We start from the raw sequence: 26,393 nt of genomic DNA on the forward strand, positions 1-26,393 counted from the left end.
GGTCTGGCAGTGTTTTCAGAGAATACCGAGATAGCACAGGAATTTTGGAATGAAGGACTGAGGAAGTGTTCAAAGAAACGGAAAGGAAAAAATACATTAATGAATGCTTACGAACTAAACATGGTGGACGCAAGCATGTACATCTCATCAGTTTTCTTCGCAATCCTGTAAGGGCAATTTTAAGGTATTTGGCATGTTAAGACAATACGTCAAATACCTTAAATATTGGCAGAGGCAATGCCAACATTAGGGCCTCCAAAGTCTACAATATCTTTACCTTTAGACTGCTTAAAGATACTGTTATATGCAAAATATTTGGGCAGACCATCACTTTAATGAAATCAACCTGATGTTTTTCCTTAAAGCATCAAAATACATTACATGCCGGCTGTCCTTTAATATACTGGGCTTATATACCAGGCATTCTTGTAATTATACAGCCTTCTGAGCCTCACAGTAACCCTATGAGCTAGTTGCTATATGTATGTACATATATATATATATATATATATATTTTTTTTTTTTTTTTTTTTTTAAGATGGAGTCTCTCTGTGTCGCCCAGGCTGGAGTGCAATGGCACGGTCTTGGCTCACTGCAACCTCCGCCTCCCGGGTTCAAGCGGTTCTCCTGCCTCAGGCTCCCTAGTAGCTGGGACTACAGGCGCATGCCACCACACCCAACTAATTTTTATATTTTTAGTAGAGACGAGGTTTCACTATGTTGGCCAGGCTGGTCTCGAACACACCTGACCTCGTGATCCGCCCGCCTTGGCCTCCTAAAGTGTTGGGATTACAGGCGTGAGCCACCGCACCCGGCCAGTAGTTGCTATTTTTATGCCCATTTTATAGATGAGAAAACAGGCTTGGAGAGGTCAAGTAACTTACCCAGGACTACACTGCTACTATTCACTGGAGCTGGGATTCAAACACAGGCAATCTGCCTCCACAGTCCATACCCTCAGGCAAACTATAGAATACTCCCATTGTACTAATTGCCGCAATTCACTTATCTGCCCTACTGCTGACTAACCTTCAAGTGTTTCCGGTTTGGAGCTCTTCCGTGCAATGCTATTATAAATATTCTTCACCATGTATCCTGCAGAGGTGCAGAACTTTCTCTAGAGCAGTGGTTCTCAGACCTTAATGTGCACCGAAATCACCTGTAGGGCTTGTTAAAACAGATAGTTGGGCCCCACTCCCTAAGTTTCTGATTCAACAGAGGCCCGAGAATTTGCACTTCTAACAAGTTCTCAGCTGATGGTGCTACTGCTGCTCTAGGAGCCACACTTTAAAAACCACTGATATAGGCCGGGCGCGGCAGCTCACGACTGTAATCCCAGCACTTTGGAAGGCCGAGGGGGGCGGATCACCTGAGGTCAGGAGTTTGAGACCAGCCTGACCAACATGGAGAAACCTCGTCTCTACTAAAAATACAAAATTAGCCGGGCGTGGTGGCGCATGCCTGTAATCCCAGCTACTCGGGAGGCTGAGGCAGGAGAATCGCTTGAACCTGGGAGGCGGAGGTTGCGGTGAGCTGAGATCGCGCTATTGCACTCCAGCCTGGGTGACAACAGTGAAAACTCCGTCTCAAAAAAAACAAACACCACTGATCTAGGGCAGAGGTGGGCAAACGGTTTGATAAGGGAAGGATTAGATAGTAAATATTTTTGGTTTTGAGCGCCACGTATGGTTTCTGTTGCATATTCCTCTCTCTCTCGCATCCTTTAAAAATTTAAGAAACATTTTTAGTTTAGCTCTAGAGCTACACAGAAACAGCCCTCAGGTAACCCTGCTCTTGAGTAGACACCAATAAGTGGAGTTAATGGGAAAAAAGATTCAGCGATCTTCAATGTTAAGTAAATATCTCTAACCTATTCTAACTGGCGATTTTTACCTCATAAACATATCTCTACACAAATAGCCCCTGCCCAGGTTCAGGCCCCTTCATCTTCCCAGGAAGACTGCAGTGGCCTCCTAACTAATCTCCCTGCCTCTCAAACATAGCCTCCATGAAGCAATGTCCACCTCCTATAGACTAGGCAGGGAGACCAGTGTGAACGGTATTCATTCGGTGGCTCAGGCCAAAAACCTCTTTTTCTCACACCAATTTATTGACAGCCAATTGCCAATAATTTTTTTTTTTTTTTTTTTTTTTTGAGATGGAGTCTCGCTCTGTCATCCAGGCTGGAGTGCAATGGCATGATCTGGGCTGACTGCAACCTCCACCTCCCAGGTTCAAGCCATTCTCCTGCCTTGGCCTCCCAAGTGGCTAGGACTACAGGCATGTGCCACCACGCCCATCTAATTTTTCTATTTTTAGTAGAGACGAGGTTTCACCATGTTGGCCAGGTTGATCTCGAACTCCTGACCTCAAGTGATCCACCCACTTCGCCGAATTGTCAATACATTTCTGTTCCCTCTACCTTCAACATTTATTCTGGATTAAATACTTTGCATCACTGTTACTGCTGCTATAGTAGTCCAGGCCACCATTGCCTATTGCAATAGCTTTCTACTTGGCCTCAATGCTTCCACTCTTATTCCACTACAGTCTGTTCCCCTCACAGCAGCCAGATCTTTCATAGTTATAATTGAGATGGTCCCAAAACCTTTAAAAGGCAACACAAAATCTCAGGTCCTTACCATGGCCTACAAGGCCTACCTGATCTAGTCCTTACCTATTACTTCCATTTCTTTTCTTACCACTGGTTTTCTCACACCACCCCAGCCAGCTCTTCCTTTGACATTCTCATCACATTACCACCCCAAGGCCTTTAATGTGAACCTTTATCAAAACACTGTGAAAAATAAAAGTAAATGAATCAGACCCAATCACCATTAGCAGGTAAATTTTTAAAAGTAAAATTACTAGAATTATATTACCTGATTCCTGATTTTTATTATAAACTTCAGCATAAAATACTTAGATAAGTATTTGAATAAGATAAGACATTTGAATTTATAAAGCTTTTCCTCTACACCCTTTCATTTGACCATTCTCAACTTTACTGAATACTAAAAGATCAACCAAGTCCATTATCACCACTTTTGCTGATGAAGTAGGTGTATACGAGATGACTACATGCGGCTGGGCGCAGTGGTTCACGCCTGTAACCCCAACACTTTGGGAGGCCCAGGTGGGTGGATCACGAGGTCAGGAGTTCGAGACCAGCCTGGCCAACATAGTGAAACCCCGTCTCTACTAAAAATACAAAAATTAGCCAGGCATGGTGGTGCGCACCTGTAGTCCCAGCTACTGGGGAGGCTGAGGCAGGAGAATCACTTGAACCCAGGAGGCGGAGGTTGTGGTAACCCGAGATCGCACCACTTCACTCCAGCCTGGGCAACAGAGCGAGACTCTGTCTCAAAAAATAAAAAATAAAAAAAAAAAGAGATGACTACATGCATGTTTAGGGGTCACACACCCCACATAAATAAGGTTTATGAAGACCAAGCATTGGAAGGGAGTAAAATCCAAGTCCTTAAGGGAAACGCATTTTTCTTGGAAAGTGTCTTTACTCACCATGTTTTTAAACTTTTAAGGCTTGCAAAACAAATGTCTTGGCCCCACTACTAATTCAGTTAGGAAGGATGATGCTGTGGATTGAATGTATGTGCCCCTCCAAAATTCATGTTGAAACTTAATCTCCAATGCAAAAGTATTAAAAGGTGGGTGGGACCTTCAGGCGGCAACTAGGTCATGAGGGCCTCACCTTCATGAATGGAATTCGTGTGCTCATAAAAGGGGATTGAGGGAGTTCATTAGTCTCTTTTGTGCTTTTGCCCCTTTCACCATGTGAGAACACAGCAAGAAGGCACCATCTTTGAAGCAGAGCAAGCCCTCACTAGGGTTGGCCCTTTGATCTTGAACTACTCAGCCTTTAGAACTATAAGCAATAAGTTTCTGTTGTTTATAAGTTACCCAGTTGAAGGGTGGTTTTGTTGTTGTTGTTGTTGTTGTTGTTTGAGACAGGTTCTTGCTTTGTCTGTCACCTGGCTGGAGTGCAATGGTGCGATCATAGCTCATTGCAGCCTCGACTTCTCAGCCTCCTGAGTAGCTGGGACCACAGGTGTGCACTACCGTGCCTAGCTTGTGTGTGTGTGTGTGTGTGTGTGTGTGTGTGTGTGTGTGTGTGTACACAGGGTCTCATTATGTTGCCCAATCTGGTCTTGATTGCCTGGCCTCAGGCCATCCTCTTGCCTCAGGCTCCCAAAGTGTTGAGATTACGGGCATGAGCCACACCTGACCTAAAGGTATTTTGTTATAGCAGCCCAAATAGACTAAAACAAATGATAATGCTGTCAACAGCATAGTATTTAAAGAGTCTGGCTGGGCACAATGGGGTATGCTTGTTGTCCCCACTACTTGGGAAGCTGAAGCAGGAGGATCACTTGAACCCAGGAGTTTGAGTTCAGCCTGGGCAATATAGCAAGACCCCATTTCCAAAAAAAATAAAAAAGAATCTGGGCTCCAGAACCACACTGCCTGGATTTGAATCCCAGCTTTATCTCATCACTTACTAGGTATATCACTATAGGCAGGATGTTTCACTTTTATGTGCCTCAGTGTTTCTCATCTGTAAAATGGGGACAATAATAATATCTACCTTATTAGGGTACAGTAAGGTTTAGACAATACATGTAAAACATTTTAACAGTGTCTGGCACATGGTAAGTGCTCAATAAACATCGGCACTTAATGTTTGGTTCTTGAAAAAGTATATGCACCAATTGCTTTCAACTGATTCCTTTTTCGCAGACTGCCCACTGCTTTGTTCTGAAGTAACAACTTACATTTGTATAGCATTTTACAGTTTTCAAAACACTTTCAAACACATTATCTCATTTCAATTTCACAGCAATTCACAAAGCAGGCAAGCTGCACAAGGCTAAAAATGGCCAATTTAGAAAGAGAGCCCAGAGTCCCTCTGACTCATGCCACTACACCATGTCCTACTGCTAAATGATGAACTTTTATAGACTTTGAACAAGACTTACTGATTGAAAACATGTTACTTGAGAATCCCAGGGCTCTCTCTTGGTGCAACTGGATCCTTTACAAAGCTTTTTAATGCACAGAGAAACCTACTCCCATGAGTAGGATGAATCCATTCATTTTAGAGCAAGAGAGGAGAAAGCCTATTATGACCTAAAGAAAGAATCAAATGTTAATTTCTCCCTGCAATCTTTCCAGCCATTATCTGTTTGTGAGGCTGGGACAGGTTAGGGTATAAAGGAGTGTTTTCCTCTCCAATCATTGTGAGTGTGTAAAATATGTCTCACATCCAGAAAAGTGCATGAAATGGCCTGCCAATCTGTGTGATGAAGTACAAAATGTCACAATATGAATGACTGCTATAGGTGGTAGATTTTAGGTATGTAACTTGTTTTGATCATATCTATGAAAGTCTATAAGTAGGTGAGATTCTACATGCTACCTGAGTTTGAGAGAACAAAGGTTGCAAGTTCTAAGAAAGTCACTTCTTCAGAATTTAGAGGCAATAGTCTCATAAAAAAATCAACATACAAAGAATCAGATTATCAATTATGAAAATAACCCACCCTGAATTTGTGAATTCTAACGGATTCCATTTAACACTCTTGAAGCCATGATGCCAGCTAAAAGCACCTCAGGCTGAGTAAATGAGGTGCTTTTCAGAGATAAAATAATCCTGGAAAGCAGAACAACTAAAGATAACATAAATGAATGAGGAGGCATTTGCCCTGAATCCAGAAAATGACTTTGAAAAGAGGAAATATTTCACCAGTGTTTATCTCACACTGTCCAAGATAGACTATATTTGTCAGGCAGGAATATCCTAGCCCTCAGTGGGCTGCAGGGTGTGTTTAATTCTTCAAGCCTTACAGTCTGGATATGAGACGCCACAAGGTTATCCAATTCTCTCCTCACCAAGCACTGTGACACAGAGAAGGGGGCCTGATCAGCAGATATTCTATGTCTTTGGATGGCATATCCCTTTGTGAAATGGAATTCCTGTGGTTTGTTCATCAGTCTCTTATAGATTAAGTTAATATAAAAGAGTGTGTCAGAGACAGATTTCCTTCTGAGGGGGGATAGGAAGTTGTACTGAAAGAAGTCAGGGCTGAGAGCAAATCCTCCACTTAAATATAGAAGCATGAAACACATGGGATCAAATCGCATTTTCTTCACTAACTACTTCTGTGACACTAGTCAGGTTAGTTCATTCCTCTGACCTTGACTTTCCTCAGTGGATAAACAGCCTACTTAGGATTGTTCTGAAGATTCTTTATGGCATTTAGCATACTTTCTGGCAAAGTGTGTATATGTGCATGATTCCTGTTATAAAACCGAGGCAAACCTTCAACATCAGGGGACCCCAACACAGTGCCACGCAACTTCATAGACAGCTAGCCAGGTTTCCCATCCATCCTTCCATTTCCCACTCTCCTCTTGGGACAAATACTTGGTTGTTTGGCAGTGTAAAGAAACTGTGGCCTAGCCAGGCGCAGTGGCTCACGCCTGTAATCCCAGCACTTTGGGAGGCTGAGGCGGGCGGATCGCGAGGTCAAGAAATCAAGACCATCCTGGCCAACATGGTGAAACCCCATCTGTACTAAAAATACAAAAATTAGCTGGGTGTGGTGGTGGCATGTGCCTGTAGTCCCAGCTACTCGGGAGGCCGAGGCAGGAGAATAGCTTGAACCCAGGAGGCAGAGGTTGCAGTGAGCTGAGATCATGCCGCTGCATTCCACCCTGGCGACAGAGCAAGACCCCGTCTCAAAAAATAAATAAAAAATTAAAAAAAAAAAAAGAAAAACCGTGGCCTAAGTCTTTCTCTTAAATATAGTCAAATTCAGCCAGGCGTGGTGGCTCATGCCTGTAACCCAGCACTTTGGGAGGCCAAGGTGGGTGGATCACCTGAGGTCAGGAGTTCAAGACCAGCCTGGCCAACATGGTGAAACCCCGTCTCTATTAAAAATATAAAAATTTGCCGGGCGTGGTGGCATGCACCTGTAGTCCCAGCTACTCGGGAGGCTGAGGCAGGAGAATCGCTTGAACCCGGGAGGCAGAGGTTGCAGTGAGCCGAGATCGTGCCACTGCACTCCAGCCTGGGCGAAAGAGCGAGACTCCGTCTCAAAAATAAATAAATAAATAAATATAGTCAAATTCAGAAGGAGGAGGAAAAGGATATATAGTAGTCCCCCCTTATCTGCAGAGGGTACATTCCAGGACCCTCAGTGGATGCCTGAAACACCAGACAATACCAAACCCTATATATACTATGTTTTTTCCTACACATACATACCTACGATAAAGTTTATACATTAGGCACAGTAAGAGATTAACAATTACTAATGATAAAATAGAAAAATTATAACAGGCCAGGCGTGGTGGCTCACCCCTGTAATCCTAGCACTTTGGGAGGCTGAGGCAGGTGGATCACCTGAGGTCAGGAGTTCGAGACCAGCCTGGCCAACATGGCGAACCCTGTCTCTACTAAAAATACAAAACTTAGCCGGGCGTGGTGGTGTGTGCCTGTAGTCCCAGCTACTCGGGAGGCTGAGGCAGGAGAATGGCTTGAACCCAGGAGGCGGAGGTTGCAGTGAGCCAAGATCGCACCACTGCACCCCAGTCTGGGCAACAGAGCAAGACTCCATCTCAAAAAAAAAAAAAAAGAAAAATTATAACAATATGCCAGCATCACTACTCTTATACTTTGGGGCCATTATTAAGTAAAGTAAGGGTTACCTGAACACAAACACAGTGAAACTGGGATAGTTGATCTGATAACTGAGAAGGCTATGACATGACCAACCAGAGGGTAGAGCAGACAGCATGGATACACTGGACAAGAATGATTAACATCTTGGGTGGGATGACAGAGGAAGGTGCAATATTTCATCACACTACTCAGAATGGTGTGCACTTTCAAACTTATAAACTGTTGGCCAGGTGCGGTGGCTCATGCCTGTAATCCCAGCACTTTGGGAGGCCGAGGCAGGCGGATCACGAGGTCAAGAGCTCGAGACTATCCTAGCCAACATGGTGAAACCCCGTCTCTACTAAAAATACAAAAATTAGCTGGGTGTGGTGGCACACGCCTGTAGTCCCAGCTGCTCGGGAGGGCTGAGGCAGGAAAATCCCTTGAACCAGGGAGGCAGAGGTTGCAGTGAGCCAAGATTGTGCCACTGCACTCCGGCCTTGTGACAGAGCGAGACTCCGTCTCAAAAAAAAAAAAAAAAAAAATTATGAACTTTATTTCTGGAGTTTTCCATGTAATATTTTTGGATAGCAGTTGAACATGGGTAACTCGAAGGGGGAGGAATAGTGTAGTACTTTTGAAAGCAAATGTGTTTTATTAATTTCGTTCAGCTCCCAGGTTATAAAACTATTCAGGGTAGTAAAAAATCAACTGTATGGAAAATACAGGGCTTTCATCAGCAGACAGAAAACTTGGTAGTTGTGAAACTTCTCATTGGGAAAAGATCTCCATAAAGAAATCATGCAGCTGGGCTGGGCACGGTTGCTCATGCCTGTAATCCCAGCACTTTGGGAGGCCAAGGCGGGCAGATCACGAGGTCAGGAGATCGAGACCATCCTGGCCAACACGGTGAAACCCCGTGTCTACTAAAAATACAAAAATTAGCTGGGCATGGTGGGTGACGTGTGCCTGTAATCCTAGCTACTTGGAAGGCTGAAGCAGGAGAATTGCTTGAACCTGGGAGGCAGAGGTTGCAGTGAGCTGAGATGGCGCCATTGCACTCCAGCCTGGTGACAGAGCGAGACTCCGTCTCAAAAAAAAAAAAAAGAAAGAAAGAAATCATGCAGCTGATAGACACAGCGCATTGTGACTTTCTTCTACCTTGGCCAGTCTGGAGCAGAACACAGCCAGTCCCTCATGCAGGGTCCGCATCAGCTCTCATTTTCCACCCACACATTTCTAGGTGTAACCACTTCCTTGTAGAGTCTAGACTAGCAAAACTGGGGGATCTGGCTCCATGGCAGCAAAATACTTCTCTCTGCTTTACCTCAGCAGGAAGCATACATGAGATTATAACTAGGGCAGGAATGGTCCTCAGAATAAAGATGTAGGCCGAGCACGGTAGCTCACACCTGTAATCCCAGCATTTTGTGAGGCCAAGGCGGGCAGATCACCTGAGGTCAGGAATTTGAGACCAGCCTGGCCAACGTGGTGCGAAACCCTGTCTCTACTAAAAATATAAAAATTAGCTGGGCGTGGTGGCGTGTACCTGTAATCCCAGCTACTCGGGAGGCTGAGGCAGGAGAATCACTTGAACCTGGGAGGTGGAGGTTGCAGTGAGCCGAGATTGTGCCATTGCACTCCAGCCTGGACAACGAGCGAAATTCCATCTCAATTAAAAAAAAAAAAGAATAAAGATGTAACCTGCACTTCTGGTTAGTTCATAAGCCTGGCTTTTTAAACATCTATATCCTCCTGCTGGACTGCCACTCTGACCTATATGCCTCTGTTGACTCACTACCTAGGTGAGTCCTGGCTGTGGAAGTAAATTACCTGGCTGCTAGTGTCTGGCTCAGAACTGACAGGAGCTCCCAGTTATCTCCCTTTTTCTAGCTGGGTATCTAGTGATCCCTGCTGGGCCTGACCCCTAACTCCATAGCCATGCCGTAAAATACCCATGTTTATGGTGGTGACATGAAAAGGGAAAGAGAACCAAAAGTTATTGACCAAAGGCCTTTTGTGCACAAGAAAGCAGTCCTAGATAAAATGTGTTTGTAAGGGCAATGTTGGAAGCAGAGGATTTTTTTTTTCTCTAAGCAACAAAGAGCTATGGAGAATCCAAGAGACTTTCAATGAGTAATTCAAGGAATAATAAGAAGGTTATTATTCCTTGGGTGCCAGAGGGAAGCTTTGCTATAAGCAGAACTGGAAAAAGATATTAAAAATCATAAATAGGCCGGGTGCGGTGGCTCATGCCTGTAATCCCAGCACTTTGGGAGGCCAAGGTGGGCGGATCATGAGGTCAAGCGTTTGAGACCAGCCTGGCCAATATGGTGAAACCCATCTCTACTAAAAATACAAAAAAATTAGCCAGGCATGGTGGCATGTGCCTGTAGTCCCAGCTACTCAGGAGGCTAAGGCAGAAGAATCACTTGAACCCAGGAGGCAGAGGTTGCAGTGAACCAAGATCACACCACTGCACTCTGGCCTGGGCGACAGAGTTAGACTTTGTCAAAAAATAAATAAATAAATAAAAATAATAAAAATAAAAATCATAAATAAAAAAATAAAAAATATAACAAGTTTCTGGATTTTTTAAAGTAAATGTATTTATTTAAATGTTGCTCTAAACTAGAAGTTTTTTGTTTTTGTTTTTGACAGAGTCTGGCTATGTTGCCCAGGCTGGAGTGCAGTGACTATTCAATCACAGGCATAATCATGGCAAAGCAAACTGCAGCCTCAAACTCCTCGGTTCAGGTGATCCTCCCACCTTAGCCTCCCTAGGAACATGCCACCATGCCCAGCTAAACCAGAGTTTTTAATCTGAAGCCTAAGCATATTTTGGAAGGGTGGATATAGGGAATGTTTGTGAAACCATGAACATTCTGTATACATGTATGTCTCTTTTTTTTTTTGCTGAAAAGATCCATATTTCATTGTCTTCTAAAATGGGTCTATGTCCTAAAAGGTTAAAAACCAATTATCTAAACCATGCTCTTTTTCGATATATTTCCTGGTAATAAGTTATCAAAATAAAGGCTTTATAGTATAAAGAATACTATTTTTTATTAAAAAGTCATGTTACACTAAAATTCTGTTAATCAATGACCTCAGTTTGTCATAACTGTGAGATGCTGAACTATTTACTGATTTTGATCTTGTTCTGTAGTTATATAGGATACCAATATTGGCAGAGATGGGTGAAGGTTGCACAGAACCTCCCTGTACATTTCTTTGCAACTTCCTATTAATCTATACATATTTTATTTTGAAAATAAACACTTTTTTAAAAGTTTATTAAAAAAAAAAACACAAAACAAAAAAAAACAGGCCATGCATGGTGGCTCACGCCTGTAATCCCAGCACTTTGGGAGGCCGAGGCACGTGGATCACCTGAGGTCAGGAGTTTGACACCAGCCTGGCCAACATGGTGAAACCCTGTCTCTACTAAAAACACAAAAATTAACTGGGCATGGTGAGGTATGTCTGTAATCCCAGCTACTCAGGAGGCTGAGGCAGAAGAATCACTTGAACCTGGGAGGTGGAGGTTGCAGTGAGCCGAGATCGCGTCACTGCACTCCAACCTGGGGGACAGAATGAGACTCCGTCTCAAAAAAAAAAAAAAAAAACCAAAAACACAGATCCTGAAATTTGATGGTATTTGGTTCTTAATCCCAGCTCTGTATTTAAAACCTATATGATGCTAGGCAAGTTACTAAGTTCCCTCAGCTTCTTTCCTCATTGATAAAAAGGCACAATTGCAGTTAGAACTGTTGCATACATGGTTTTCAGCACAGGGCCTGACACACAAAGCACCACATAAATATAAACTATCGTGATTATTTTTAGACAGTATGGTCATAACGCAGACATCACTCTTCACTGGGTGACAGGTACATAGCTTCCAGACATGGTTCCTAAGTGGAAATAAACTGTCTCCTTTGGAGTAGTTTTGGAAACCAAATCTATAAAGTGACAGTAACTATCATAAACAAGGAACTGCCCTTTGAAAATTAGAAGAAAAATGTCCAGTGTAACAGAATAATATGGAGTTAAGGAAGGAGAGAAGGAAGAAAGGAAGGGAAGTGTGTGCACATACACCACACATGTGCACACACACATACACACAGAGCAAAAGCAGGGAATGAGACAATTTTTTAAAATGGGTATTCCAGTCCATATTTGCTCAGCACTAACAGTGTGCTTAAAGACTGAAAATTAGATAGAATCTTTATTTAAATTGTTTGTTCAATGGACAAATTAATGATAGTGTTCATTTCCCAAAGCTGCACATGTTTTCCATTAAGGATTATTTAACTAAACCTAAAATCTGGAAAAGGCCAGTAAAAGAAAAACAAAAAGATGGTCATGTAGTTAATCATATTAATCATTTGCTTTCAAGGAGTGTATATGCTAATGGAAGAGACACAGGCAAAAAAGAATTTTAATATCACAGTAACACAATAAGGTTTCAGACAGATTTGTACAGGGTACAGTGAGAACAGAGGAAATGGGGAAATAATGTCAAACTACAGGTTCCAAATTCCTGGAGGAGATGACACCTAAGCTGAGTCTTGAAGGTGGTGGGTGGTGTAAGAATGAGCCAGCGAAGGAAGTGCAGTGGTTGACATAGCTGTCCTGGCAGAAGGAACAGCAAGAGCAAAGGGTGGGTGGCGGGGGGTGGGGGTGGGGGGGCGGGTGGCACAGCACTAACATGTGCTGGCAACCACAAGCAATTCAGTATTACCACAAGATCAAGTCTAAAGTAGAGCATGGCTTACAATAGTGTGGTATCTCACAAAGGGGGGAAATGGCATTTAAAGAAATTTTTTCTTCAAGTTTTCCCACTGTATATAATAAACCCTAGAAAAAAATAAAATACATTCTAGCAAAAATATTTGTTCAAATAAGCACTTTCATCTTAGAATACCTATTTCTATGGTGAGCAAAGACATTAAGTTTTTGAAATCTGGGCTTAACTTCCATAAATAGTCTGCATTTCCTCCCTACTTTTCTCTGTAAACTGAGATTTAAAGCATTTAAAAGCAGTACTTTTGGCTGAGCATGGTGGCTCATGCCTGCAATCGCAGCACTTGAGGAGACTGAGGCAGGAGGATTGCTTGAGACTAGGAGTTCCATGCCAGCCTAGCCAACATAGCAAGACCCCCATCTCTAAATACATGCATACATACATACCTACATACATAAAAGCAGTATTTTTTTTTTTAACTGGCAGGAGTCTTGATATGGTTTGGCTCTGTGTCCCCACCCAAATCTTATCTTATAGTTCCCATAATTCCTATGGGTTGTGGAAGGGACCCAGCTGGGAGATAACTGAATCATGGGGGTAGGTCTTTTCCATGCTATTCTCATGATAGTGAATAAGTCTCATAAGATCTGATGGTTTTAAAAACAGGAGTTTCCCTGCACAGGCTTTCTGTCTTTGCCCTCTGCCATCCATGTAAGACATGACTAGCTCCTCCTTGCCTTCCACCATGATTGTGAGACCTCCTCAGCCATGTGGAACTGTAAGTCCGCTGAACCTCTTTTTCATCCCAGTCCCAGGTATGTCTTTACCAGCTGTGTGAAAACAAACTAATAGAGGTCTGATGACCTTTCCTATAAGATGTGAGATCTAAAAGAATCACAGCAGAAGCTGAGACAACACTTGTCATAGAAACCTGTAAAACTGACGAATGATTTGTAACTCTTTGCTTAGGAATACATTTTTCAAATCATTTTTGGAGAACTCAAATGTGAGGGCTAAACATCATTGCTAATTTTATGGGCACACATGTAGGCTAAACACTCCTAAAAGCAATAACTTAACCATGCCCTGAGAGTGACCCGTATGACAGATGCTCCTGAATGTGTGCTCTGAGCTAGGGAATCCAGGAGTGGCCAACTTGGAGATACACTCCTTGTCTATGATAAATAACTGAGCCCCTGGCCTGTCCTGTGGAACATGGGCCATACAAGGGTTTGAGGCCCTGAGTTTTGTGTTAAATGAAGGTGGCCAAGTGAAAGCTATTAGGAGGGTGTTAAGTTAAAAATGCTATATAAAATGCATAATGTTTGCAGGTGGCTGCAGTTTTCCTGCCCAGCCTGCTGCCACTGGGCTATGCAGTTACACTGTGCTGCCCATGGTCACTGAACTGTAGGAAGGTGCATACTGCCACTGGACTCTCTCCCCTGTATGTAACCCCCTAATAAAACTCTACGTCTCATTTTGCTGGCTTATGGTCTCTTCTTTGGCTTCTTGAACCTGGTGCCTTCCTTCTTTTTTTTTTTAATAGAGAACAGAGAGTTTATTTTTAAATATTTTTCTTTCTTAGTAGAGATGGGGTTTTACCATGTTAACCTGGCTGGTCTCAAACTCGTGGTCTCAAGTGTTCCACCTGCCTCAGCCTCCCAAAGTGCTGGGATTACAGGCGTAAGCCACCACACCCGGCCCCCATTAAGATTGATAGAGGTTCGGCACAACATCAGGGAAGTAGTATCCAGTGAAGGGAGCATATTTATGGCTATTTTGTTTGTTGTGTGTATTTTAAATGTCACAGAGCCTCTGTTTTCAATGCTTTGAATGCTCTGTTTTCAATGTTCCAGTTGGCCTCGATCAAAGATATCAATCTCATAACCCAGTCACTCTGTGAGCAACTGAGACTTATTTTGGGGAAGAGGACACAGCACAAAACCTGCATCCCCTGCCCCTTTCCTTACCCTCTCCAAGGCACCTGAATGTTCAAATACATTAGGTAAGGCCTGATTCACAAAAATCCTCCTTGTCCTTTACTCTGAAGGGCAAAAACCTTGGATGATCCATAAAAAGAAATTCCACAGGGAACAGATTTCTGTAAAAACTACTTTGCCATGTTTAGCAAGAATTCCACTAGCTCGTTTGAGAATGGTAAGTGTGCAGAGAGAAGAAATTGCTAAGGAAACGATGAGTAAATTATATGGTACTTGATAGTGTACTTCAAAAGCATGACAATCAATCCATGACTGCTGATATAAATAATTCAGAAGACATATTCTTACATTTCCTTGTAGGTGTAAAAACACTACTTCATCCCTAGCTATATGTTTACTCATTAGTCTTTCCTCCTATTAAACACTCCTAGGCAAGGAAAGGGGTTGTCCTATGGTATTGGATATAAGATGTGAAAGAGAAAAAAAAAATAATGGGAGAAAAATTATAAGCAGTTTCCAAAGGCTGGGCGTGGAGGCTCACTCCTGTAATCCCAGCACTTTGGGAGGCGGGCGGATCACTTGAGACCAGGAGTTCGAGACCACCCTTGCCAACATGGCAAAACCCCGTCTCTACTAAAAATATAAAAATTAGCCAGGCGTGGTGGCGCATGCCTGTAATCCCACCTACTGGGGAGGCTGAGGCAGGAGAATCGCTTGAACCCGGGAGGTGGAGGTTGCAGTGAGCCAAGATCCGCCACTGCACTCCAGCCTGGCAGACAGAGCAAGACTCCATCTCAAAAAAAAAAAAAAAGTAGTTCCCAAATCATGCCAATGGAAAAATAATTCCAAGAAGACCCAGATAAGTAATTCAATCTCTTGTATTTGTCAAATGTTTATAATATATTGTGATTCTTAGTAAATCATTTTGAATTTAATACTGCTATTCTCTTTTTAAGAACTTCAAGTTTAATGACTTGTACAACTAGCTCTGCAAGAGAAAGATGCTACTACCATTTGTTTTCAATGATGCCAGTCCTCTGAATTTAAATTCCCAAACAAATCCTTCAGGATCAAATTATTTTTACACTGACCAAGGGAGGTGGCTTATTCAATAAATCATCTGAAGAATTTTAGTTTCAATAAACCTTTTCAAATAATTTGTTCTGAAGGAAATGGGGCAAATTTAATACCATCAAAGACTGTCTTGGCTACAGGCAATAATATGCATAAATCCTACAAACACAATGTTGAGTAAAAGACGCCAGACACAAAAGAAGATATATTTTACAAGTATATGGGTATAAAGTTCAAAAGGAGCAAAACTGATTATTTTCAAAGTCAGCAGTGGGGCACAAGAGAAGCTTCTGGGGTGGCAATAAGGTTTGGTATCCTGATCTGTGTGCTGGTTACATGGGAGAGTTCAGTTTGCCAATTTTTATTAATCTGTAAACTTATGGTTTATGCTTTTTTCTGTAAATATGTTATATTTCAGGAAAAGTAAAAAATTAAATTCACAAAGGTCATCATGGGTCCTGCTTCAATAAAGCGCCTGGGTTAAAAATCAACATTAGAGGACAGGCGCGGTGGCTCACACCTGTAATCCCAGCACTTTGGGAGGCCAAGGTGGGCGGATCACCTGAGGTCAGGAGTTCGAAACCAGCCTGGCCAACATGGCAAAACCCTGTCTCTACTAAAAATACAAAAGCCGGGTGTGGTGGTGGGCACCTGTAGTCACAGCTACTTGGGAGACTGAGACAGGAGAATAGCTTTTGAATCCGGAAGGCAGAGGTTGCAGTGAGCCAAGACCGTGCTATTGCACTCTAGCCTGGGCAACAAGAGCAAAACTCCATCTCCAAAAAAAAAAAAAGAAAAGAAAAAATTCAACATTAGAGTCCAGAATAGGAAAACCTACAGTAGATTAGTTGTTGCTTAAGGGCTGGGGATGAGTGGGTGGAGGAATAGCAGGACTGAGGGTTGAAAGGTATGGAGTTTCTTTCTGAAGTGACAAAAGTGTTCTTTTCTCACTCTGTCGCCCCCACTGGAGTACAGTGGCGCCATCTCAGCTCACTGCAACCTCTGCCTCCCGGGGTCAAATTATCCTCCCACCTCAGCCTCTCGAGTACCTGGGACCACAGGTATGCACCACCATGCATGGCAAATTTTTTGTAGAGACAGGGTTTCACCATGTTGGCCAGAGTAGTCTCAATCTCCTGGGCTCAAGCAATCCACCTGCCTCGGCCTTCTGGAGAGCTGGGATTACAGGTGTGAGCCACCGTACCAGGGAGACAAAAATGTTCTAAAATTGAATGTGGTGATAGTAACACAACATGGAGAATATAGTATAAAAACCATTGAACTGTACACTTAAACAAAAAAACAGGAAAACTATTACCTTATAATCTTAATTGCTCAGTGTCGTTCACTGGTCCCTCCTTTTTTATTCCCCTGACTCCCAGACTGGGTATCAGTAGAATGAGTACAAATGTACATTTTGTTTCATTTATTCTTTTTTTTTTTTGAGACAGACTCTTGATCTGTCACCCAAGCTGGAGTGCAGTGGCACAATCTCTGCTCACTTCAACCTGTGCCTCCCAGGTTCAAGCGATTCTCCTGCCTCAGCCTCCAAAGTAGCTGGGATTACAGGTGTGCACCACCCTGCCCAGGTAATTTTTGTATTTTTAGTAGAGACCGCATTTTGCCATGTTGGCCAGGCTGGTCTCAAACTCCTGACCTCAGGTGATCTGCCCACCTCAGCCTCCCAAAGTGCTGGGATTACCGGTTGTGAGCCACTGCCTTCATTTATTCATTTTTTAGAGATGGGGTCTCACTATGCTGGCCAGACTGGTTTCAAACTCCTGGCCTCAAGCAATCCTCCCACCTCGGCCTCCCAAAGTACTGGGATTACAGGCGTGAGCCACTGTGCCCATCCCAAAGGTACATTTTCATTTGAAGAAAAAGCTAATGAAAATCACATTACCTGAGTTTCATTCTGCTACCCCCACCCCCGACCTCCACCTATTTATTACTCACTGCTTACCTTCTCTGTATGAGCAGCGCTCAACAGGAGTCTGGGATTGGGGGATGAATACGGTGATTCCCAAACTTGGTTGCACGTTGAAATCACCTGGGGAACTTTGAAAGCTACTGATGCCCGAGTCCTACCTCTACAGATTCTATTTAATTGGCTGGGGTGCAATATAGGTATACAAATTTTTTTAAAGCTCTCCGGGAACCAAAGTCCAGACACATTATATATTGATATAATACACTGATACATTACCTAAACACACACACACATACACACGCATACTCCTCAGGTGATTCTAATATGCAGCCCAAATTGAAAGAATTTTTAGTGATTTTCCCAAAGAACTGAAAATCTAAATTCTCTGCCATTTATTAGTTCTGTGATGTGTAAAACTATTTAATCTCTCGGAACTTCAAGTATGACTTTGAGACATACCTAGGGCATATTAGGTTTTTAAAAAATGTTAGCTGCCTTTCCTTTTGTCTTTCCCTTCAAAAATTGGAGAATTTTATTTTTCAAAAAAGCAATTGTGTTGTCACTATTATGTTCCTTTCTGTTCTTCAGAACCCTGTGCCTAGTGCTTGCTCTCTAACGTAAGTTAAGGAACCTCTTGTGCTCTGGCTTCCTGGAACCTTGGATTTGTAGATTGAGAATCTGATCTCTGCCTTGGCTGACCTCTCAGGATTTGGTAACCAGACCACCTGTCAGTTCTTTTTTTTTTTAAGACAGAGTTTCGCTCTGTTGCCCAGGCTGGAGTGCAGTGGTGTGATCTTGTCTCACTGCAACTTCCGCCTCCCAGGTTCAAGCAATTCTCCTGCCTAAGCCTCCTGAGTAGCTGGGACTACAGGCGCGGGCCACCACACCCAGCTAATTTTTGTGTTTTTAGTAGAGACGCGGTTTCACCATATTGGACAGGCTGGTCTTGAACTCCTGACCTTGTGATCCACCCACCTCGGCCTCCCAAAGTGCTGAGATTACAGGTGTGAGCCACTGCACCCGGCGTCAGTTCTTTTCTGATTCTGGTTTTCCCTTTTCATGCTGTCTTTACCGCTGCTGAAAAGCCAAGCATGCCATGTAACAGGCTTTGCATTGTATCTTTATGAAGTAGGAATTCGTATTTAGATCAACAAGGAGAATGAAATTGGGCAGTCTAGATAATGGGCTATGAAGAAAAAAAGGAAAAGTCATGAGAACACAAGGTGTCAAGCAACATGGAGGGTCTTGAAGGGGTTTCTAGAGAGCAGGGGTTGCAAACTGGTGGCCTGCAGGCCGCACCCAGCTCCAATGTTCTGTTTAGCCCTCACAGTGTTCAAAACGTTTCTGAACTGATTGCTGGCTTTTAAAATCGAGAAATTTCAGCCAGGCGCGGTGGCTCACTCCTGTAATCCCAGAACTTTGGGAGGCCAAGGCGGGTGGATCACGAGGTCAGGAATTTGAGACCGCCTGGCAAATATGGTGAAACCCTGTCTCTACTAAAAATACAAAAATTAGACGGGTGTGGTGGTACACGCCTGTAGTCCCAGCCACTCAGGAGGCTGAGGCAGGAGAATCACTTGAACCTGGGAGGTGGAGGTTGCAGTGAGCCGAGAGCATGCCACTTCACTCCAGCCTGGCTGACACAGTGCGACTCCCTCTCAAAATAAATAAATAAAATAAAACTGAGAAATTTCAACAAAAATCCAGATGTCTAGCTTCTCTCGAAAAAGACGACAGTCTGGCAACAATGGACTCACTGTTCCACATGGAACCAATGAGGACATCAGTAGCTGCTACTTCCTTGGGATGGGGTATCCTCTCTCCAGTTTTTTGCAGCTACAACCACCACCTGCTTCACTGTATTGACTGGCCAGCCTCTCCAGGTATCTGAGTTTTTTTTGTTTTTTTTTTTAAGAGTTGGAGTCTGCCAGGCGCGGTAGCTCATGCCTGTAATCCCAGCACTTTGGGAGGCCAAAGCGGGTGGATCACGAGGTTAGGAGTTCAAGACCAGCCTGGCCAAGTTGGTGAAACCCCATCTCTACTAAAAATACAACAATTAGCTGGGCGCGGTGGCGGGCACCTGTAATCCCAGCTACTCAGGAGGCTGAGGCAGGAGAATTGCTTGAACCCGGGAGGCAGAGTTTGCAGTGAGCCAAGATCGCACCACTGCACTCTAGCCTGGTGACAAAGCAAGACTCCGTCTAAAAAAAAAAAAAAAGAGCTGGACTGCAACCTCAAACTCCTGGGCTCACGCAATCCTCAGGCCTTAGCCTCCCAAGTAACGAGGCCCACAAGCCTGCCACCACCATGTCTGGCTAATTTTTTTTTTTTAATTTTTGTACAGATGGGGTCTTACTATATTGTCTAGGGTGGTCTTGAACTCCTAGTCTCAAGCAATCTTCCTGCCTCAGTCTCCCAAAATGTTGGGATTACAGGTGTGAGGCACTATGCCCAGCCATATCTGAGGTTTCAATCCCTGCTAAAGAGACAGGGCTTCCCTAAACTAGATGTTCAGTAACTATTTAGTAAATGAATGAATTAAAGTGGAAAAGACGGAGAAAAACGTGGAAGAAGAGGATGAGGAGAATCCCTCTATTAATAACACTCACAATAGTAGGTGTGGAAGGCCTCAAATAGCACATTGATAAGTTTGGACTGTGGCCTGAAGTACAAGGTACCTGAAGGTACTTTCCCATGCAACAACATGATCAGGACGAGTGTTTAAAAATATTTTAGGGTCGGACATGGTGGCTCACGCCTGGAATCCCAGCACTTTGGGAGGCCGAGGCGGGTGGATCACGAGGTGAGAAGATTGAGACCATCCTGGCTAACATGGTGAAACCCCCGTCTCTACTAAAAATACAAAAAAAATTAGCCGGGCGTGGTGGCGGGCGCCTGTAGTCCCAGCTGTGCGGAAAGCTGAGGCAGGAGAATGGCGCGAACCCGGTAGGCGGAGCTTGCACTGAGCCGAGATCGCGCCACTGCACTCCAGCCTGGACGACAGGGCGAGACTCCGTCTCAAAAAAGGAGTCCTGAGACTCCTACTCGGGAGGGTGAGGTGGGAGAATCGCTTGAATCCGCGAGGCGGCGGTTGCAGTGAGCCAAGATGGCGCCATTGCACTCCAGCCTGGGCAACAAGAGCGAGACTCTGTCTCGAAAAACAAACAAACAAACAAACAAACAAACAAAAAACCACTATGTCTTTATACCTTACCAAGTTCCAGGAAGGATTTCAGATGGCACTAGCAGACAGGATGGGCTAAAGACTGCGACATCACATCCAGAAGTAACAGCCGAAGGGGTTTTCAGTAGATTTGGACAGGAAGCGATAAGGACATGAAGGAAACTGGAGCAGCAAGACAAGAAAGGCAGGACTGTGAGAAGAGGTAATCGTCAAGACCCGATGAATATCCGGGAGAATGGCCCTGTGGCTCAAGAGCCAGTATCCAGAAGACTCAACCACTGTAGATAGGAACTCAGCACTGATGGGCTTGGGAAAAAACACAACAGGATTTGGTTGTCAGGGAAGAGACATGGTAAAACTAATCAACATTTCAGGGCCTAAACAAAAAAGGCATCAGACCTGGAGGGAGAGTGAAGTTACTGGGCAGTAATAACAGCAGCACCCAGGACCCAAGGAGGGAAGGCTGTGTGGCTGCAGCCACTCAGGTGCCCCAGGGTCCATTCAGGCCTGCCTGATTTGCGGCAATCAGACTCAATTCTAAGATCCACATAAGCTGTAATCCTTCTCAGTTGCTGCCATGATTGTCTCCTGCACTGGGCAGGTCTGTGCCTGGAGGTGACAGGTACAGGTGTCTAGGGTCTGAGGGTCAAGACAGAAGCTGGGCTAAGAAGTCTAAGGTAAGCAAAGTCAACCTGGACCTCCCCAGAAATTAGCCAAAAATGTGGGTATGGGACTTAGGAAAAAAGTTAGGCTTGAAATAGAGATTTGGGAGCAATCTCCCAAGAGCTGAAGCCAAGAAGAGAGTGCCAAGAGAAACACAGATGACTGTCAAAGCCTATAGAGGAGCCACATTTAAGGGAGGGAGGGAAAGGAGGCAGCTACTCTGGCAGTCAAAGACGCATACACAAAAGCCCAAAACACCTGAGGCCAGGCATGGTGGCTCACGCCTGTAATCCCAGCATTTTGGGAGGCCGAGGCGGGTGAATCACATGAGGTCAGGAGTTCAAGACCAACCTGGCCAACATGGTAAAACCCGTCTCTACTAAAAATACAAAAGTTAGCCAGGCGTGGTGGTGGGCCCCTGTAATCCCAGCTATTCAGGAGGCTGAGGCAGGAGAATCGCTTGAACCTGGGAGGCAGAGGTTGCAGTGAGCCAAGACCACACCACTTCACTCCAGACTGGGCCACAAGAGTGAAACTCTGTCTCAAAAAAAAAAAAAAAAAAAAAAAAAAAGAGTTAACAGAAAAGCACCTGAGATGAACAGAATCCTACAGCTTCACAGAAGCGAAGAAAATAAATTTAAAGAAGGGGGTGGTTAACAGCCACTTACTGAAGAAAGGACACATAAGACAAAGACCAAAATAGACCAAAAGCAGGTAACCTTCAAAAGATTTTTCAGAGAAAGGGGTGGAAACCAGACTGCAAGGGGTTAAGAGAGTAGGTGTTGAGGAAGTTAGAGAGGAGCCAGACAAACCCTAGTATTTATGGTAGTGAGGTTTGAGCTGTGTTTGTTTGGGCTGTGCAGTTGCTAGGTTATGACAAGTGCACACTGAACTCCGGCTCTGCTGCCCGTTTTTATGTCTGGCATTCTCAGAAATCACCTGGATCACCTAGTCTTACCTAGTCCTAAGGAATAACTGAACTTGTTATATTTCTTCCTTTTCAAAGTGGAAGCCAGCGGCTCCCTAATGCACCCATGGTTGCCAACAGTCCTTCACCATGTGGAATGGGGTCAAAAAAGCATCATGGTGTCCATGGTTTTGAGAGTGTGGAAGGGTCACTGCGCATCAGGCTGCCTATGAAGAAAGGAGTTATGTTCTTCCCTTCTCTTTGTACATTTCTTTTTACTTCCCAGTGCCCAGTGGCCTTGGTAAAAAACATTAGATGTGTAAATGATGTGAGCATGGCAGACAACTGCCAGCTTTCTAGCAGTTGTTCCCAATCATCATTGTCGTCATGGAAAGAGGACTAAATCAGGAGTGTGGACACCAATGGGCAGCCTGCTAATTTTATAACTGTAATCCTTTTACATAACACAGGTCCATGTTCACATGCATGCAAGAGTAACATGAAGTTAAACTCAGCACTTTCCGCACAGTAGATGCCCTACAATACTCGAGTAAGTAGTTAAAGATGGTCATTCCTCATAAAGACAAGCTGAAGAAAATCTTCCCTTTTCTTCAACATATTCAGACTTTATTTTCATCCCCTTTAAAAAGACAAGTTGGACAGGCACTGTGGCTCATGCCTATAATCCCAGCACTTTGGGAGGCCAAGGCAGGCGGATCACAAGGTCAGGAGATGAGACCATCCTGGCCAACATGGTGAAACCCCAACTCTACTAAAAATACAAAAATTAGCTGGGCTGGGTAGCGCGTGCCTGTAGTCCCAGCTACTCAGGAGGCTGAGGCAGGAGAATGGCGTGAACCCAGGAGGCGGAGCTTGCAGTGAGCCGAGATCATGCCACTACACTCCAGCCTGGCTGACAGAGCGAGACTCTGTCTCAAAAAAAAAAAAAAAAAAAAAAAAAAAAGATCATGAAATTGAGGTGTTTTGTTGAAATACTTATGGATGATATGATGTCTGGGATTTATTTCAAAATAATAATATGGGGGAGTGATAAAAGTATAGATAAAATAAGATTAGCCTTGTGTCGATAATTATTTAAGTTTGGTGATGGGTATGTGGAGATTTAATACACTATTCGACTTTTTTCCATAATATAGATTTTAAAAATTAATGTATTTATGTAAATTAGATAGTATCTTGTAAACAAGTGAAAGGCAAGCAATAAACTGGGCAAAATATGCAATATGCGTATTTCAATATGCAGCTAACAGAAAAAAATGTCATAAGTGGGTAATTCATAAAAGAAGAAATACAGGCCAGGTGCAGTGTCTCACGCCTGTAATCCCAGCACTTTGGGAGGCTGAGGTGGGCTGATCACTTGAGGTCAGGAGTTTGAGACAAGCCTGGCCAACATGGCAAAACCCAATCTCTACTAAAAATAGAAAAATTAGCTAGGCGCGGTGGCACACACCTATGATCCCAGCTACTCAGGAGGCTGAGGCAGGAGAATCCCTTGAACCCGGGAGGCAGAGGCTTCAGTGAGCCAAGATCGTGCCACTGCACTCCAGCCTGGGCAACAGAGTGAAACTTCATCTCAAACAAACAAACAAAAAACACAAAAAAATATGAAATACAAACAACCACTTATACATTTTTATATATAAGTATAAATACACTCAACTTCACTAATTGTAGAAGACAGAATAATGGCCCTCCCAAAGGTGTCCATGTTCTAATCCACAGACCTGTGAATATATTTCCTTACAGAACAAAAAGGGACTTTGCAGCTATGATTAAATTAAGAATCTTCAGATGGGGAGTTTATCCTGAAATATCTAGGGGAGCCCACTGTAATACAGAGAGTCCTCATAACAAGGAGACAAGAGTGTTAATGTTAGAGAGAAGGCTATGTGAGGAAGGAAGCAGCCAGTGAAGGAGATATAATGACATCATGTTGGTGGCTCTGAAGACGAAGGAAGGAGCCATGAGCCAAGAAATGCAGGTGGCTTCTAGAATCTGGGAAGGGCAAGGAAACCAATTCTTTCCTAGAGCCTTCAGAAGGAAGCAGCCCTGCTGACACCTAGAGGTTAGCCCATTGACTATGCCCGGAAAACACTCAACATACCATCTGATCCCACTTTAAATTCTTGCCTACTGACTTCCAGTGGGCTGGAAGGGGTCCCTATCTCCGCCAACACTACAATAATGCAATATTTCCCACCAATTTACCCTCCTACTCTCCTAGACAGCTATTTTACAGCTTCTGAGCTTTCCTCAAATCTCCCAACTTCTCTTTTGGGTCATGCTGTTTGCTGGAGGGAGGGACTTCACCACATACTTACGAAGGGGTCATGAGCAACCAGAACTTCCTTTTTTGTTCATCTGATACAGGGTTTCACTTTGTCACCCAAGCTGGAGTGCAGTGACATGATCACGGCTCACTGAAGCCTCAAACTCAAGCAATTCTCCTACCTCAGCCACCCAAGGCGCTAGGACCACAGCTGCATGCCACCACACCTGGCTAATTTTTAAATTTTTATAGAGATGGGGGTCTCACTATGTTGCCCAGGTTGGTGTCAAACTCCTGGGCTCAAGACATCCTCCCAAAGTGCTGGGAATACAGGCTTGAGCCACCACATCCTGCAACTGGCCCAGAACGTTGAAACTCTCCTACCTCTACTTATGTATGCCAGCATCTGTACCCACCTACTCCTCTGTCCCACTTGTTACTTTCAATACACTGTGCTCCTGTCTAAAACCAATCCCTCCCCTCTCACCTCAAGAACATTGCTTCTGTAGTTCTCCATCATTGTGAAATTTTTCCTCTCCACTGGCTCATTTGTACCAGCATACAGACGTGATTTTAAAGCACCCAGTGTAAAAACAACAGAATTCCTCCTACAATATCCCTCTCTAGCAATCAGTCAGTTTCTCTGCTCCTTCTTAGAGCAAAGCTCCTAAAAAGAGATTTTTATACTTGCTGTCTCCAATTCCTCTTCTATCCTTTTTGAACCCACTTCAATGGGCTGTTAATCCATCCTCAGCACAGTTCTACCCAGTGGGAGTCATTATTTCCATTGTACAGAAGAAGAGCAGAGTTTCAGAGAGTTTGGGCAACTTATTCAAAATCACACTCAGCCTGACCCTAAAGCCTATGCCCTTTCTACTCACTGCTTCAGCCTGGCCCTCAAACTTTAGTTTCTTACTCACATGTAAACTGTACTGCCTAGCCAGACTCCTGTAACACTGGCCTTGTTACATGTCTTGTAAAGTGTTTATTAGATTTGATTCCAATTCATTTATGAACCATAACGTATTGATTTTGAAACTAATATATTTCAGATCTTATCTGGTTGTGTCATGGCTCACACTGACATAATATTTTCTCTTATAGTTGTTGTTTTTCAGAAGGATTTCATTAATATTTCTTTAGGCATGAGGCTATATTATTATAATCCATATTATACTATTTATTCATAAATTTATTATTTTCATTTTAACACATGCTCATAAAGAATGTAGGAAATGGGAAACAAAAAATATACTTACCATAATTACATCACCAAATACAAATACTGTTAGCACTTCTGTTTCCTTCTAGATTTTCATTTTTTTTAGTTCTAATCATCGCAAATGTAGAAAAGTAATCTTGCAATTATTGTTAAAATATGCAAAGAAATCAACATAAAATAAAAGCACCAGTACTCAAGGATATATGATATGAATTTTTTTTTTGAGGCAGAGTCTCGCTCTGTTGCCAGGCTAGAGTACAGTGGTGTGATCTCAGCTCACTGCAACCTCTGACTCCCTGGTTCAAGCTTTTCTCCTGCCTCAGACTCCCAAGTAGCTGGGATTACAGGCACGTGCCACCACACCCAGCTACTTTTTGTATTTTTAGTAGAGACGGGGTTTGACCACGTTGGCTAGGATGGTCTTGATCTCCTGACCTCTTGATCTGCCAGACTTGGCCTCCCAAAGTGCTGGGATTACAGGCGTGAGCCACCACGCCCAGCCCTGAATGCTTAATTTAGCATAGGAAAAAACCGAAATGAAAACATTAATAAAAACAGCGACATAATTTCTTTCTTTCTTTTTTTTTTTGAGACGAAGTCTTGCTCTGTCGCCCAGGCTGGAGTGCAGTGGTGCGATCTTGGCTCACTGCAACCTCGTCTTACCAGGATCAAGTGATTCTCCTGCCTCAGCCTCCTGAGTAGCTGGGACTATAGGCGCGTGCCACCACACCCAGCTAATTTTTGTATTT

The 26,393-nt window shown here is 43.6% G+C and overlaps 1 protein-coding gene across 10 annotated transcripts in view, besides 4 other annotated features; it reads right to left on the minus strand.

Annotated features, from left to right (window-relative positions):
* The window catches only part of G3BP2 (G3BP stress granule assembly factor 2), an 81,652-nt gene that overhangs the window by 31,420 nt on the left and 23,839 nt on the right, over window positions 1-26,393 (minus strand). For 4 of the 10 annotated variants that reach the window (NM_001400014.1, NM_001400007.1, NM_001400013.1 and 1 more), the window contains one exon: window positions 20,593-20,724. The exons of 4 other annotated variants lie outside the window; for them this stretch is intronic. The gene's annotated coding sequence lies outside the window, so the exon portion shown is untranslated. Of the gene's footprint in view, window positions 1-20,592; window positions 20,869-26,393 lie in introns of all 10 variants that reach the window. 2 more of the 10 variants (XM_047416466.1, XM_047416465.1) reach the window with 1 other exon arrangement.
* Window positions 42-1,019: an enhancer, noted in NCBI's record as "NANOG-H3K27ac-H3K4me1 hESC enhancer chr4:76599431-76600408 (GRCh37/hg19 assembly coordinates)". NCBI's record gives its function as "activates a minimal SCP1, AML or CMV promoter by ChIP-STARR-seq in naive H9 embryonic stem cells {active_cell/tissue: H9 hESC(naive)}" and the evidence as "EXISTENCE:reporter gene assay evidence [ECO:0000049][PMID:30033119]".
* Window positions 1,020-1,996: an enhancer, noted in NCBI's record as "NANOG-H3K27ac-H3K4me1 hESC enhancer chr4:76600409-76601385 (GRCh37/hg19 assembly coordinates)". NCBI's record gives its function as "activates a minimal SCP1, AML or CMV promoter by ChIP-STARR-seq in naive H9 embryonic stem cells {active_cell/tissue: H9 hESC(naive)}" and the evidence as "EXISTENCE:reporter gene assay evidence [ECO:0000049][PMID:30033119]".
* Window positions 22,095-22,144: a silencer, noted in NCBI's record as "silent region_15481". NCBI's record gives its function as "represses an Ori minimal core promoter by ATAC-STARR-seq in GM12878 lymphoblastoid cells {active_cell/tissue: GM12878}" and the evidence as "EXISTENCE:reporter gene assay evidence [ECO:0000049][PMID:35858748]".
* Window positions 24,674-24,833: an enhancer, noted in NCBI's record as "active region_21621". NCBI's record gives its function as "activates an Ori minimal core promoter by ATAC-STARR-seq in GM12878 lymphoblastoid cells {active_cell/tissue: GM12878}" and the evidence as "EXISTENCE:reporter gene assay evidence [ECO:0000049][PMID:35858748]".

This window comes from Homo sapiens, chromosome 4, assembly GCF_000001405.40.
Source record: "Homo sapiens chromosome 4, GRCh38.p14 Primary Assembly".
Lineage (NCBI taxonomy): Eukaryota > Metazoa > Chordata > Mammalia > Primates > Hominidae > Homo > Homo sapiens.